The sequence below is a fragment of the Homo sapiens genome, chromosome 17 (assembly GCF_000001405.40).
Source record: "Homo sapiens chromosome 17, GRCh38.p14 Primary Assembly".
Taxonomy (NCBI): Eukaryota; Metazoa; Chordata; class Mammalia; order Primates; family Hominidae; genus Homo; species Homo sapiens.
This window is the reverse complement of record NC_000017.11, coordinates 46,754,299-46,770,217: the sequence shown is the minus strand read 5'-3', so window position 1 is coordinate 46,770,217 and position 15,919 is coordinate 46,754,299. Positions and strand designations below refer to the sequence as shown.

Sequence of the window (15,919 nt, the reverse complement as noted above, 5' to 3'; positions counted from 1 at the left end):
TAAACCAGCCAAAGAGGGTGGGGAAGCTGCCTCCCTCTTGCCTCAGGGCTGGTGAGCTCTTCAACTCTTCCTGGCCTCGTTCCCCTCACGTCCTGGCCTGGGAGGTGGAGGCAGGGCAGGCGCTCCCAGGCCGGGTCCTGAGTGCTGCCTCCCCACGACCTCCCCGCAGCCACCCGCGAGTCGGCCTTCGTTCACGCCATCGCCTCGGCCGGCGTGGCCTTCGCCGTCACCCGCTCCTGCGCCGAGGGCACCTCCACCATTTGCGGCTGTGACTCGCATCATAAGGGGCCGCCTGGCGAAGGCTGGAAGTGGGGCGGCTGCAGCGAGGACGCTGACTTCGGCGTGTTAGTGTCCAGGGAGTTCGCGGATGCGCGCGAGAACAGGCCGGACGCGCGCTCGGCCATGAACAAGCACAACAACGAGGCGGGCCGCACGGTGAGCCCGGCTACCCTCCCCAAACCCTTCAGGGAGCAGCCCCCCGCTTCCCCTCCGGAGCTGCCCTGGCCCCCACCTCACCCCTTCCGGCAGCCCTGTGGGTCGCGGGCTCCTTTTCCCCTTGGCCAGGCTTGGCCTCCTCCCCACCCCACAGCCACTTCGTCTGTCCACCCTCCTTCCTCCTTGGGCAGTTCCTGGACTCCACCCCACCCGGGATGAGTCGGCCTGGGAGCATGGCCACCCCGTGGGATCAGGTGCCACCCACCACCCATCCTGTGCACCTTGGCACGCGGTGTAGGGCTGTCAAGTCCTGGGAACCTGGCTTTGAATTCAGCCTCCACTCCCTTACTATGCTTGTATGATCTAGGGTGAGTCACGTTAAGTTCCCAGCCTCAGTTTCCCCATGTGTTAAATGGAGATAACTCCTATTTCTTTTTTCTTTTTCTTTTCTTTTTTTTTTTTTTTTTGAGACGGAGTCTCGCTCAGTCGCCCAGGCTGGAGTGCAGTGGCTGGATCTTGGGTCCCTGCAACCTCCGCCTCCCGAGTTCAAGCAATTCTCCGGCCTCAACCTCCCAAGTAGCTGGGATTACAGGCGTCCGCCACCACACCAGCTAATTTTTGTATTTTTAGTAGAGACGGGGTTTCGCCATGTTGGCCAGGCTGGTCTCAAACTCCTGACTTCAGGTGATCCTCCCGCCTCAGCCTCCCAAGGTGCTGGGATTACCACCGCGCCTGGGCAACAACTCGTATTTCATGCGCTGTGAGAAGTGGACGTGCTGTCTACCCATGCTTGGGGTGTGAAGGGGGAGGGAAACATGGTCACTATTCTTTAGGTCTTGCCTCAGTCCCCATCAGTTCTCTTCCTGTCACAGAGGAGTAGAGAAGGCTGGAGGGAAGGGGGTGGGCAGTGGCAGAGAGGGAAGGCCTGGATGTGCCCCCTCGTGGGGTCGGTCTGTTGGCCAGCTGCCACTTCTCTCCCCCAGACTATCCTGGACCACATGCACCTCAAATGCAAGTGCCACGGGCTGTCGGGCAGCTGTGAGGTGAAGACCTGCTGGTGGGCGCAGCCTGACTTCCGTGCCATCGGTGACTTCCTCAAGGACAAGTATGACAGCGCCTCGGAGATGGTAGTAGAGAAGCACCGTGAGTCCCGAGGCTGGGTGGAGACCCTCCGGGCCAAGTACTCGCTCTTCAAGCCACCCACGGAGAGGGACCTGGTCTACTACGAGAACTCCCCCAACTTTTGTGAGCCCAACCCAGAGACGGGTTCCTTTGGCACAAGGGACCGGACTTGCAATGTCACCTCCCACGGCATCGATGGCTGCGATCTGCTCTGCTGTGGCCGGGGCCACAACACGAGGACGGAGAAGCGGAAGGAAAAATGCCACTGCATCTTCCACTGGTGCTGCTACGTCAGCTGCCAGGAGTGTATTCGCATCTACGACGTGCACACCTGCAAGTAGGGCACCAGGTAGGGCTCCGGGAAGCAGGGGGGAGGCTGGGAGCCTGGGCGCAGGGAATGGGGTTGTTTGCCCATCTCGTCTTCTTGACGACCCCCTTCTGTTTCTAAGCTATCCAAGACACACAAGTTCCCACAGCCAAAATAGGAAGCTAGGATTTTTCAAGCATCCGTGGGAATGGTCCTTGGGCAGAGACTTGGTGGATTGCACAAAGCACAGATAAAAACCCAGTGTTGGCCGGGTGCGGTGGCTCACGCCTGTAATCCCAGCACTTTGGGAGGCCGAGGTGGACGGATCACCTGAGGTCAGGAGTTCGAGACCGGCCTGGCCAACATGGTGAAACCCGTCTCTACTAAAACTACAAAAATTAGCCGGGCGTTGTGGCAGGTGCCTGTAATCCCAGCTGCTTGGGAGGCTGAGGCAGGAGGATTGCTTGAACCTGGGCGACAGAGGTTGCAATGAACTGAGATTGCACCACTGGACTCCATCCAGCCTGGGCGACAGAGTGAGACTCCATCTCAAACAAACAAACAAACAAACAAAAAAAAACAAAATTCAGTGTGTGCACATTAGGTGCCAGCAATTGATTAACATTTTTACACAAGTTAGTTATGAGCCAGATCAAATTTTTGCATAGCTGCTAGCTGTCATTCTTGAGCATTATTTGGAGATGGGGGGCTGGAAGCTGGGAGACCTGACGTCTGGTCCTAACTTTGTCAGTAACTTCCTGTTCTTTCACTTTTCTGGGCCTCAGCTTTCTTACTATAAAGTGGTGATGGTGGTGAAGGGCAGGGGGCAGTTTAAATACCTCAAGCAGCGAGCCAAAATGTCTCCTCTACCCCTGAGGCAGAGTCAGTGTGCATCCACCTTGAACTTAGAGGGCAAGTTCCTGCACAAGCATAAATCGTACCAACCTCAGGGAGGTGGGTGGGGGGAAGCGGCATATAAGCCCATATCCTGACAGATCTGAAGCTTGGGTGGAGTGGGGAGCACTCTCACCGAGTTTATGGATGATGACGGGGAGCAGGAGGGATTCAAGTTCAGAGTGGCTGGGATGAGTAATCGAGGGATCAAAGGCGGGTGGATTTTGTTCCCAAGCTTCCCAGAGGTGGCCTGCATGGGAGGCGCTATGCACTGGCCCTGGGTTCCACAGCACCCCGGGATAGGTCAGCATGGATGAGGAGTGGTCCTGGACCCCCGGGGTGGAAGGTTTTAAGGCTGGGGTGCCCTTTCTTCCTTTTCTGTCCCCTGAGAAGGAGCCTAGTGTGTCGAGGCATGAGCATGGGTGTTGGAATTAGGCCCTGCCCTGCTCCAGCTCCTACCACTTGCCAACCGTGTGACCCAAGCAAGAAATTCTTCATAGACCTGGTTCCTCATCTGTCATCCTCCCCAGAGATGCTGTGAGGGACAAATGAAAGGACACCGAGGACAGGGCTTGGTTAATTGGGAAGCACTTCCCTGCTGGGTCATTGTTGTCTGGGGTGCTGCTGGGCGAGAGCAGCCTGTGAAAGGGTAGAGTGCCCCCTCTTCCTGCAGTTCCACAGGGCACCTCTGAGCTACTGGCACATGTCTGTGCCATAGGGAGTAGGGGAGGGAAGTGGACGGGCCTCTCTGAGATATGGGAGGTACTTGACGTCATGGAGAAGAGCTCTGGCTGAGGGGCGACTCACTCAGCCCATCTAGGAAGCCCCTCGGTGTAGCTCAAGTTCTGTCCTGGTGGGGACAGTCCAGAAAGGCAGCAGGTGGCACTACCTTTGTCGGTATCTGAACAAAAGCAGTGTGGGGAGTGGGAGAGGACGAAGGTGAATCCAGCGCCTCCACTCGTCCACTCAGCTGTCTGGCCTGGGAGCGCCAGTTTCCTCCTCTGTTCAGTGGTGGTGACAATGGGAGCCCAGCAGAACTTTTTTTTTTTTTTTGAGACTGAGTCTCTCTTTGTCGCCCAGGCTGGAGTGAAGTGCGCAATCTCGGCTCACTGTAACCTCCGCCACCTGGGTTCAAGCGATTCTCCTGCCTCAGCCTCCCGAGTAGCTGGGATTATAGGTGCCCGCCACCACGATCGGCTAATTTTTTTATTTTTAGTAGAGACGGGTTTCGCCATGCTGGCCAGGCTGGTCTTGAACTCCTGACCTCAAGTGATCCACCCGTCTTGGCCCCTCAAAGTGCTGGGATTACAGGCGTGAGCCACCGCGCCCGGCCAGAATCAGTACTCTTCATCAGCCCTCTTTCTCCCCATTTCTGAAATGGACAATGAGTGTTTTTTTTCCTCAATCTTATGTAAAGTGCTACATAGATATGGTTTCAAGATGCTGTGTCCAAGTGGTTCCTACCCGGAACCCCTTCTCTGTGGAAGCTCTGGAGGCCTCACTCTGTGACCAGTGGAGGACACTCTCCCAACATGGTGCCCTTCTGATAAACACTCCCAGGCCAGCTCTTCTGCCTCGCTGAGCCCTGGCTTCTTCATTTGTGAACTGGGGATGAGAACTGTGTTCTGTGTAGGGTTGTCCTGTGGACTGGAGACCCTGCACATGAAGGGCCTGGCCCAGGACCCAGCTGCTCACAGGGCAGCCACAGAGGCTCCTGGGCCAAGCAGAGCTGACCTCCCAGAGCCACCTCCCCAGGCGAGAGCCGCCTGCTCTGGAGCAATGGGCCCAGGCTCGGCCGAGACTCCGCTAGGCAAGACGGGAGCCTGCGGGATGCACTGGCAGGGATGGCAGGGGACAGAGTCGTTAGCTGTTCTCTTGTCTTCCCTGACAGTCTTGGCAGTGCAGGCAGGAGAGAGAAGGGAGTCGCAGAGCAGGCCCCGGGCCCTCCACACGGTGAGGAGAGAGCGCCTGTCAAATGGCTTGTGTCCTTCCTTTGTGGGGAAAACACCTTTTCTGTAGCTTTTTGTAGCTTTTACCCAGTGTCTCTGGCTAACCATTGATTTGGTGCCTTACAAGTGCCAGATTTATTCCTCGTCACTCTGCTGTTGTGAACATGGTGAGCTGGAGCTGGAAAGGTTCTGGCAAGAGTCGAGTGGCCTGGCTGCGCCCAAGTCCTGGATCTGTTACTGCCTTGCTGAGAGACCTTGGATGTGTCCCTTCAATCTGGCTGAGCCTGTTTCTGCCTCTGTAAAGTAGTCTTATCTTGGCCTTGTCAGCCCCCTAGAAGAGCTGGGGGTTGACTGGGAATGCCTCAAACCCTTTGTGAGATATGACTATGCAAATGAGTAAAATGAACACACTGCTGCTCCAATGGGAAGGAATTGTTCGTAATTAAGTAGGCTCTCTCCCATTTGGACAGCTCATTATCAAGCTATTTGGTGCGGTACAAAAACACAGTGCATGCCTGGCGTGAGCCCAGCACAGCAGTTGACTTGGAGTTGGGGACTGGGCCCTCGGCCAGGCACCGTTTCTCCCATCCTGAGTGACCTGCTCCTGGGCTTCCTGTTGCCCAAGGCCCTCAGCTAGAGGTGGGGGAGGTAGAATTTCGATCCCATTCTGTGGACTCGAAAGCCTTACTGCTCCTGTGACTCATACGACCTCCCTCAACAGCAGGCCCAAAGCACAGAGGAGAGCGTGGAGAAACCACCCAAGTCCTCATCACCTCTGAGCACCAGGGACACGTTCAGATCCATCAGCAGCCTCTGATCTTTGAACCCCAATGGGTGGTCTCTGGGAATGGAATTATGTTTCTAATTCTTCCTCTTGATTTTCCCCAAGGGCGCTGGGAAGGGGTGAAGTGTGTGGCTGGGCGGATTCAGCGAAGTCTCATGGGAAGCAGGACCTAGAGCCGGGCACAGCCCTCAGCGTCAGACAGCAAGGAACTGTCACCAGCCGCACGCGTGGTAAATGACCCAGACCCAACTCGCCTGTGGACGGGGAGGCTCTCCCTCTCTCTCATCTTACATTTCTCACCCTACTCTGGATGGTGTGTGGTTTTTAAAGAAGGGGGCTTTCTTTTTAGTTCTCTAGGGTCTGATAGGAACAGACCTGAGGCTTATCTTTGCACATGTTAAAGAAAATAAAAATGAAAAAAAATTTGACTCCAACAGAACAGGCTGGGCTAATGTGAGCTCTCAGCCTGGCAGTCAAGACATCAGCATGGGCAAGGTTCTGTTTCCAAACTGCTGCTTCTGGTGACATTCCAAGACGCCTGGAGGGTGGGAGTCAGGAAGTAGGACACACCCCTGCAGTCTCCTTTTCTTGGTCCACTCCCATTCAAATTTGAGCTAATTTCTCATTCTGATAAAAGCCATAGGTTTAGCTAGGATGAAGTGGTAGGAAGGTCCGTGGCAGTTGTTAGAGTAGGATTTGGAGTTTGGAAGAACTGGCAGCTCAGGGTGGCCTGGTCAGCCGTTTGAAGAGCAGCCATGTGTTCTTCTCAGTCTCATTTTCTCTATAACCCTGTTCTGCACGAGGGGCAGTCAGATCTCAAAATCTTTTTCTACCATTCTGCAGTTTCCACCGTCAATGCAGTTTTTTTTTTGTTTTTTTGTTTTTTTTTTTTTTTGGTGGTAGTGGACCTTGTAAATAGGCTATGTAAGGGGGCAAGTCTTCTCTAGCTCAAATGGCTTCCTAAATAAATAAGCGGTATCTTCAGAAGGGGCCATTCAGTCCTTCCCAGCCCTGCTCACCTGCAGATTCTCTGTACAAATAACTCCAGGTAGAGCAGTTGGACTCCAGGTCACCTTAGTATAAGTTAGACAAAGGGTCCGTGAGGGAGTAGCCATCAATTCCTGAAATTCCAACTTTGTGACTAGCAGATGGGGAGGATGAAAACCATCCCTTTGCTTCCTCTCCAATACGGACCCATCTTACTGTGTCCTTTCCTCTCTGGGGCCAATGTGAGTAAACACAGACACAGAGTTCTTTCCCCCAGCTCTTCCTCCCTCACCTGCATGCTGAGATAGCTTCCATCCATGCAGTTCCCAAGGATCTGGATTAGAAGTTCAAAGGGGAACCAGCAGTCACCTACTCCCTTAGGTGAAGCATCTCACGGCTGAGTTCTCCCTGAGGCATACTGGTCCAGCTGAGCGTCCTAGAGAAAGCTAGCAAAAGGGAGGCACATGGATTTCACAGTATGAATTGGTTCAACAACTGTCTTAGGGAGAATCAGAAAGAAGAGATGCAGCAGGGGAATGAGCAGAACAAAGATTTTTCTTTCTCCCCCTTCTCTCTGGGGTCTACCTAACCCTGACCTAAAATACCAGGGCAGCGATCTCCCAGCTGGTGCAGGTGGGCTTGCCAAGATGGTCGTCCAGGAGCCCGCCTTCACTTCTAAATCTGCTGGCCACAAGCCCTGCTAAAGATACACATCTCACCCCCTCCGCCAAGTCTGAAATGCCCCTCCCCATCTCACCTTAGACTGAAAAGTTTTAAATCATGTCAACTGGATAATACTTGCTTTATGTGAGAATACTTCAGCAGAATGGATACGAATTTTCAAAACAATCTTTTCATATCTATGTATTCTATATTAAAAGTGATAAAGTCATGTTTCTGGGGCGTATTCAAGTAGCTGACAAGTAATTATTTAATAATAGTACATGAGTGCATTGTAATGATTCTCGCCGTAGTCAGGTAATAGTATCCAACCGAAATTTCCTACCAACCTGCTGTATCCAAAGTTTTGTAAAAAGTTGTAGAAGTTGTTGATCTTTTTGATTTTATATTCAAAAAGTCTCTTTTTATAAATATTATTTATTATACAATGTATATACCTTTGAGTTAACTAAGATTATATATTATATAAATATATATATATTTGGAGAAAATATATTTCATCATGCAGTTTTTTTCTGTTAAGTCATTAAAGAGAAGGTAAACAAACCTAAAATGGATACATTGTACACTGTGTGGAGTTTCCAGATTAATGCTCAGGAGGTCAAGGATACGAGATTCTGAACATGGTGGCCTCAGCTAATTAAATGACCAAGTGAAGGTTATTTCCTCTGTTTTCTAAGCAAGATCATCAGAGATGTCACGGACAGTGGGTCTGATACACCACAGTACATTTTTAAAGGCTTCTTTTGTTCTAAGTTAACTTCTAACAATGAATTTCCAGTTTTAGAAAACAACAACTTGTGTACTAATTCATTTCACAGACTCAAGTATTTTCAATGTATAAATTAATGTCACAGGCACTCCTAAAAGATGTGGCCCAAGGCCAGCAGACCGCAGGGGTGGCCACTGCCTTAATCCCCTCCTCACCACGTTTTCAACTCCATTTAATGGGAAAATAGGATTTTCTCTATTGAAAATGAAACTTGACTGAAAATTGTCTGTCCCCTGCTAGCTCCACTGTGAGAGCTAAGCCGTAGAGGGAGGTAGGCTGGTCTACAAGAAGAAAGCGTGTGCCCTGGGCTGTGGGCTGTCTGGAACAATTGTCATTTGAAGTTGGGTTTGGGTTTGGGTAGAAAGGGCCTGCCAGTGGGCATGCTCTGGGGATGGGCACCCTCTCAGATCGCCACTTCACAGGACCCACTGGAAGCTCACAGGTTATGCCTTCTCAACAATGAGATGCCACAAGTTGGTTTTATGACAACAGACAATCCTTTAGTTTTCAGACCTACCCATAAAATGTCACCTTTGGTTTATTCAGCACATTATTTCAGAGAATAACAAAAATGTTTTTTCTTTTTATTTCTCCTGACCTACCTCATTTAGGAACAAATCTTACCTCACTACGAAGAGAAATAATGAGAACAGGCTGGGTGGGGTGGCTCAGACCTGTAATCCCAGCACTTTGGGAGGCCGAGGTGGGTGGATCACTTGAGGTCAGGAGTTCGAGACCAGCTTGGCCAACATGGTGAAAGCCCGTTTTTACTAAAAATACAAAAATTAGCAGCTGGGCATGGTGGTGCATGCCTGTAGTCCCAGCTACTTGAGAGGCTGAGGCAGGAGAATCACTTGAACCTGGGAGGCGGAGGTTGCAATGAGCTGAGATCGCACCACTGTACTCCAGCCTGGGTGACAAGGCGAGACTCCATCTCAAAAAAAAAAAAAAACAAACAAAAAAAAACCAGGAAAATAAAGCCATGAGCCGCCTATGGTGGAGGCGGGCTGCTCTGCGCTGTATTCAGACCTGTGACCTGAGGTTAGGAATAGCCACCAGAAGTTGATGCACTCTGTTTTGTCCATGATGTGTCTTTAGCCCCTGAAAAGCTGAAACCACAAAAACTGTTACACTTCAGCCATACAACGAATCGGACACGTACAGGATACAGATCTCCTCTACATCTTACAGTCTGGTCATTTTTATTTCATTTCGACTTTTTATTTTTCTTTTGCATAAAGCTAATGCAGGTTGACTACACCTTTTCTGAAATGCTTGGGACCAGAAATATTTCAGACTTTGGAAGATTTGCATATATACAATGAGGTATCTTGGGGATGGGACCCAAGTCTAAACACGAAATTCATTGATTTCATATGCACCTTACACACATAGCCTGAAGGTAATTTTATGAAATTTTTAAATAATTTTGTGCATGAAACAGTTTAGACTGCATTTTGAATTTTGATTGCCACCTGTCACACAAGGTCAGGTGTGGAATTTTCCACTTGTGGCATCCTGTCGGTGCTGAAAAGTTTTAGATTTTAGAGCATTTCAGATTTTGGATTTTTAGATTAGGGATGCTCGACTGAACTTATCTATCCCAGAATTCTAGGTACTTTTTCCTTTTTTTTTCTTTTTTTTTTTTTTTTTGAGATAGGGTCTTCCTCTGTTGCCCAGGCTGGAGTACAGTGGTGTGATCATGGCTCACTGCAGCCTTGACCTCCTGGGCTCAAGTGACCTCCTACCTCAGGCTCCCGTGTAGCTGGGACCATAGGCATGTGTCACCATGCCCAGCTAATTTTTTAATTTTTTTTTTTTAGAGATGAGGTCTTGCTATGTTGCTCAGGCTGGTCTTGAACTCCTAGCCTCAAATGATCTCCCACCTCAGCCTCTCAGCATTGGGACTACAGGCATGAGCCACCCTGCCTGGCCAGTACTTTTTCAATCAATAAGATTGCCAAATATTTAAATGGTCCCTATTCATACTAATGAAGACCATTTGTAATCGTATGATTAGTTTTTAATTTTTAAGAGACAAGTGTCTATGTCACTCAGGAGTACAGTGGCATGATCATGGCTCAACACAGCCTTGACCCCCTGGGCTCAAATGATCCTCCTCAGCCTCCCAAGTAACTAGGACTCAGGCGCACTCTACTATGGTAATTAAAAATAAAATCTTTTGTAGAGATGGGGTCTTGCTGTGTTGCCCACTGGTCTCAAACTCCTGGGTTCAGGGGGTCCTCCCACTTCAGCCTCCCAAAGTGTTGGGATTACTGGGTGAGCCATCACACCCTGCCCAGTCTTATTTGATGGTTAAGGAGAATACAGTTGATAGCTGTGCTTGAACATGTAGTTTCTCCTTATGTATAAGTACTTACAAACGTCTAAACACAAGAGGACGTTGTTTAAAAATCTGAAAGAGACGACATAATTAGAAGATATCTTTCAAAGCAATATTATTTTATGAAGAAAGAAGGGAAGGAAAGCATGTGAGACAGTTCAAGGATGAGGGGATGAGGTACAAAGAAAGGTGGAAGGAAAGAAGGTAGGGAAAAAGAAAAGCAAGGAAACATGATGGCGACATGATTCTTGGTGTTACCTAATGCCGTCTCCCCTGGTGGCCCTGGGCATAGGGACATGTTCTTGTGTGTGTGGCTGGTCTGCACACTCGAGTGAAGTCAGTGCAGCTACGCATTGCTGCTACACTGCCACTGTTTCTCCTAGTTTAATAGAGAACCTTCTAGGAGGCAAAAATTTCTTACCATTAATCTTATACTCCCAAAATAGTGAGACAGAAGTTGCATGGCGTCTACGCTGGGAAAATTTCAAACATGATCCCTCCTTGGATATTTTGTCTTCACCCACTTGGGATGCTTGCCAATCACAGGCGCTATCTCCCGCATCTTTATGCCATGGTGCCCGTCCAGCACACACCCTTGTGGGCTCGTCTCCAGGACCCAGTCTCAGTACGGCTTGCCAGCTGATGAGAAACTCTACATCATTTTGCAATAAATTCTGCAACTTACCTGCTTTCTTGAACTCTCATACACACCCTTCCCCAGTCACTTATTTTATTTTTCGAGACAAGAGTTTTGCTCGTTGCCCAGGCTGGAGTGCAGTGGTGTGATCTTGGCTCACTGCAACCTCTGCCTCCCAGGTTCAAGCAATTCTCCTGCCTCATCCTCCCAAGTAGCTGAGATTACAGGCATGTGCCACCATGCCCGGCTAATTGTGTATTTTTAGTAGAGACGGTGTTTCACCACGTTGGTCAGGCTGGCGTCGAACTCCTGACCTCAGGTGATTGCCCGCCTCAGCCTCCCAAAGCTCTGGGATTACAAGTGTGAGCTACTGCGCCCGGCTGCCCCCAGTCACTTCTTTAAAGAGGCTATGGACCAAGTTGTCAGGCAAGGAAAATGAAATCCTGCTTTCACCTTCTGTGTTTGGGCTGGGGTGTTTGTTTATAGCTGACTCACTGTTTCAACAAGTCTGTTGATCAGGATTTGATTATTGTACACACTTCAATCTACTCCATGATTTTGTGACTTGTTGCTGAAACTTTTAAAGGGGAGGCTGCAATTTTTAGGATATGAAAAGACAGCCTTAAAGTAAAAACATATTTCTGACTTTAACCACAATTATGCAATTTTTCTGTGTGACATTGAAAAAAAGTGTCCCAGTGAAGATGTACAAATTTAGAAAGGATAAAATAACCTCCTCTTTTGAGGTTTTGATCTCAAAAACATCTTATGACAAAAAAATAGCCGGTTAACAATTCGCCTATAGATGAAGAAACCTAAGGCAGCAGCTAGCTGGAGCCTCCTTTGCTTCTTCACAGGCCGTTCTGTAATCTCATACGCTCTGCTGTACAGCACTGGCTTTGAAGAATATTTGGGCAGCTTCAAGAACCCACCTTCTCAAGGCTATGCAGGGACCAGGTCGGCCTCAGGGTCCTCCTCCCAGGAACTCCCGTTGTGGAAGTTCTTGAAGCTGGCCTCTTCCCCACAGGGCCTTGTGGACTTTCTGAGCTGCCTCCTGTCCTAAACTGAGCCAATGCTAAGGATCAAGGTTTAGGAGGTTAAGAGATCTGATAGCTCAGAAAAATGTAAAAAACTATGGAGGATACAAAAGTGAACCATGTGAAGCAATCTCACTGAGAGCCTTGAAGTTCCTTGGTTTGTACATTTCACAGAAAGGAGTAATTCTAATTGAGTGGCAACCCTCCTTTCTGGTTTATTACTAACCTTGTTTGTGGCTTAGGTACCTGAGTTGATTTTTTTTTTTTCTTTTTCTGAGACAAAGTATTGCTCTGTTGCCCAGGCTGAGTGCAAGTGGCGTGATCCTGGCTCACTGCAACCTCTGCCTCCCAGGTTCAAGCAATTCTCCTGCCTCAGCCTCCTGAGTAGCTGGGATTATAGGCATGTGCCACCACACCCGGCTGTTTTTTGCATTTTTAGTAGAGACAGGGTTTCACCATGTTGGCCAGGCTGGTTTTGAACTACTGACCTCAAGTGATCCACCCACCTCAGCCTCCCTCTCGGATTACAGGCATGAGCCACCGTGCCAGGCATTTTTTTTTTTTAGTAAGATAAAATAAGTATAAAGCATAAAGATGGTTGTATATTAACTTTTTCTGATACTCTAATGATGTTTTTAAATAACTATACTTTCTAAATAAGAGATTTTTAAAATAAAAATCATCCCTCATGTTATGCTACTTGTAACAAAACACGGAGAGGTTTCTTTCCTGAGCCCCCTCCTTCTTCCTCCATTCCTATCAGCTGTTCATGTCGTTCTATATGAAACACTGGTCTACAGAACATTTTCAAGTATATTTACTCTTTATTGCATTCCTTCATTTGCATTAAACAATATTTTTTCAATACAGTTTTGGACAAAACACAAAGACATTAAGCTCATTTAACAAGAGACATAAGTTAACACAATGTGTGCTGCTTTCATGAGGAGGAAAGAGGCAAGATCTTAGAGGAATCCAGGATACTGGCCACCAGGAATCACAGGATCTCACAATACAATCCACTTCTTTAAAAGCCACAAAATAAGCTAGGGAAGAAAACCCAAAACAAAGAAGATATGACATCCAAGTCTCCACCAAAAGTATACAAATGGCAAGATTTGGAGATGATCTGCTTTCTCACATGAGGACAAATAACAGAGGAGCCACACCCAAGTGCCACTGTGGCCACAAGCCTCATGGGTGGCGTGTGAGGTAAGCACCTTAGGATGGCTTCTAATTGCTTGTCCTTGCATTTTAAGCAGCAGTTGGGAGAGAGAGGCACACTCCATAAGTCTCATCACCAAATATGACCTAATTAAATTCCTGCTAAGTCAGTCAGTTGTAAGACAAATCACCCTCAAAAGGACTCAACGGGTGCTTCCTTTTGGAAGAAGTGTGTGGAGGGTAAAGGAAATGTGTTCAATGTATTGGAATGGACAATAAAGGACTGAGGGAGAGGGCTAGAAAATGATTGATTTTTCTGGAGAATAGTGTTTTAGACACTAGATAGTACAGATCATTTAAAATAAAGGATAAATTCTAAGTAAGTCATTAAGCTAAGGAAAAAGCAGTGATACTAGTAAGCCTTAATATTATACTAAGGAATTGACCCACTTGGAGTTGGACACTAATTAGTGCTGAGAGGTTTGTAAATTACTTTAATAACTCCTTTCTGTTTGGGGGTGTATGCTTTTTCCATACCTATCTTTCACATGTTTTTAACAACATCTTCTAAGTGGTAATAATGAGCATATCTCTTACCACAGAGCAAATTAGTTATACTTAAGGGGAAGTCACAACCAACACGGTAGTCATCTGACTTTCTATTAAGAAAGATCTTCTGACTGCAACTTGAAAACATCTCTGACAATGATTGAGAACAGCATTTTAGAGATTCAATGCCTTGTTTCTTCAGGCAAAGAGAATACCAGTCTTGTGGGAGACCTTTAACCAAATACCCAGTGACTTTTAGTGTTAGCTCAGGACAGCTGTCAGAGGATCTCTGGCCCACACCTCGATTTACTAAGCCAGATTTGCATGTAGAAAGTCTGCCTTCTAATCGGCCAACTGTTGTCATGCAACATTCATGACACTGACTGAGAGTTTTCAAGGGTGATGGTGCTAGTAGAGAGGTTGAAACGTGTAGTGTCCACAAGTACTGGATGGTTCCCACCCAGAGGGACTGAGCAAGAAGGAATCACTTTAGCCTGCATGGGAAGGTAAGCGCAGCATTCTAAACCAAATTGACACCTTCCACGAGACACTAAGCTATCTCAGTATGCATAAGGAAGGGAGTTTTATTGCACTAATCATGCAGAGCGAGCACATGTTGAAGGTAGAGAACGTTCCACTTAGTCCAGTATCTTGAGTAAGACAGTGAAGATCCTAGGCCATCTTCACCTTGGTCACTTCCCTTGGTCACTGTGTGTTTCAAATAGTTCATTTTCAATCAAAATCAAGGGGGCTACTGCAAAAGAAATACCAAAACACAAAAAAACAGATGAGGGTCCGTAAAAAACTATTCATCAAAAAAAAAAAAAAAAAAATCACTAAAAGCTTCTTAATGGTTATCCTACATTTCCCACTATGCATTTGCTATTAGATGAGCACTTCACAAAAGAAAATGGTCACAGCTCCATGCATGTAAAAGCAGGTTCCAATAAATATGTACCATTAAGTTTTTCCTGCATTGTGACAAGGAAGTTTTGCGAAGCAGGACAGGGAGAGCAAACCAACAGTACAACCAACTTCCTTGCTTGGTCTCTCGGACCTACAACACAGCGAAGAATTCAAATAAATGGAAACAAACTTATCTAGGAAAGCAACTCTTAGAATAGGCACAGGGATTTAACAGGGTGGTAAGTTTGGTTGATGGTCATTAAATGTTGTATGTACTTACGCTCCTTCTTCTCTTAAGAGGGCCAAGAATTTTCTCACACGGTATTCAGGATCCATCTAAATACATCAGAAGAAATGAAGATGGGTTAATGGTACCTTCTAACAACTCTGCACTTGCTTCATGAGAAGGCAGTGTTCGGTTTCACACTTCATCAATGCTCTGCTAGGTCACTGAATGTGTTACCTGCTCCTTGACCAGCATTCTCACACAAAACAAAGCAGATCACATCATTTGGAGGAAGTGAATGGGGTTTTCCAGAACTATGTACACTGGGTTCCAAAAGACCCAAGCCCGCTGGCCATCATAGGCACTTGGGCCAGGCGTGCCCTGTGCTGATGCCTGTGAGGCATCGCTGTGAGACTGGACAGGGCCATTCATCAGAGTTCAAATGACAACCAATTCACCTGTTGAAGGTGTAAAAGGCTACTAAAGTCACAGCAAAGTAGAAGATACCAAGTTGAGGTTAATTCAACAACTAAAAAATAGCTTATTAACTCTACATAACCAACCATGTAGCTTTTCTTAGCCTCAGTATCCGTCATATAGTTTCTTCTTTGTAGTAACAAAGTTGTGCTAAAACTAAAAAAATGAAGAGTACTGCTGATTCCTGAAATCATCTCCAGATGAATCTGGGTCTCCTGTGACTGCGAATGTGTCATGAGTCTAAGAAAAGATGGCGCAACTTTGTTTCAGGTGCTTCGTTCAGGTCGTTATTATTAGCTATCTCGACTGGTTTTCATTTTCTATTCATATTTATACTAACTCGTTAAATGTACTTTATTCTCGTAGGCCCACAGGAGATATGAAGTTATCTAGAAAACAATCGTTAAAAACATCTTTAGTTCCTGAAGATGAATTTTTATTGTAAGAAACACACCTAACTTTTAAAATATGTTTCAGAGCAGGAGTCTGTTTCCCAAGAGGGAACTCCCTGCCCTCCAGGAATAACTTTCAAATGCTCAGTGCAGCTGTGGGGAGATGTGCAATTGGACTCCCACTCCAACCACGGATTTTTTTTTCTTTTCTTTCTTTTTTTTTTAAGATTTCTTCTATCCCAGAAAAACACTGAAC

General features: G+C 47.4%; 3 protein-coding genes across 4 annotated transcripts in view, besides 1 other annotated feature; 1 reads left to right on the top strand and 2 right to left on the bottom strand.

The window, feature by feature from the left end:
• The window catches only part of WNT3 (Wnt family member 3), a 56,187-nt gene extending 48,475 nt beyond the window's left edge, over positions 1 to 7,712 (top strand). Inside the window, exons 3-5 of the mRNA NM_030753.5 lie at positions 170 to 435; positions 1,419 to 1,906; positions 5,597 to 7,712. Of these exons, the coding sequence (NP_110380.1) occupies positions 170 to 435; positions 1,419 to 1,898 (746 nt within the window). The 3' untranslated portion in view covers positions 1,899 to 1,906; positions 5,597 to 7,712. The remainder of the gene's footprint in view (positions 1 to 169; positions 436 to 1,418; positions 1,907 to 5,596) is intronic.
• Positions 1 to 15,919, bottom strand: part of LRRC37A2 (leucine rich repeat containing 37 member A2) — a 676,337-nt gene that overhangs the window by 278,911 nt on the left and 381,507 nt on the right. The gene's annotated exons all lie outside the window — the stretch shown is intronic.
• Positions 11,241 to 11,535: an enhancer, noted in NCBI's record as "tiled region #3126; HepG2 Activating DNase matched - State 8:EnhW". NCBI's record gives its function as "activates a minimal TATA promoter and a strong SV40 promoter by Sharpr-MPRA in HepG2 cells {active_cell/tissue: HepG2}" and the evidence as "EXISTENCE:reporter gene assay evidence [ECO:0000049][PMID:27701403]".
• The window catches only part of NSF (N-ethylmaleimide sensitive factor, vesicle fusing ATPase), a 166,796-nt gene continuing 163,630 nt past the window's right edge, over positions 12,754 to 15,919 (bottom strand). Inside the window, exons 19-20 of one of the 2 annotated variants that reach the window (NR_040116.2) lie at positions 14,845 to 14,904; positions 12,754 to 14,416 (exon numbers count right to left, since the gene is read on the bottom strand). Coding sequence is in view for 1 of the 2 variants with exons in the window: in NM_006178.4 (NP_006169.2) it covers positions 14,395 to 14,416; positions 14,849 to 14,904 (78 nt within the window). In the remaining variant the exon portion in view is untranslated. The remainder of the gene's footprint in view (positions 14,417 to 14,844; positions 14,905 to 15,919) is intronic. The other variant, NM_006178.4, reaches the window with a different exon arrangement.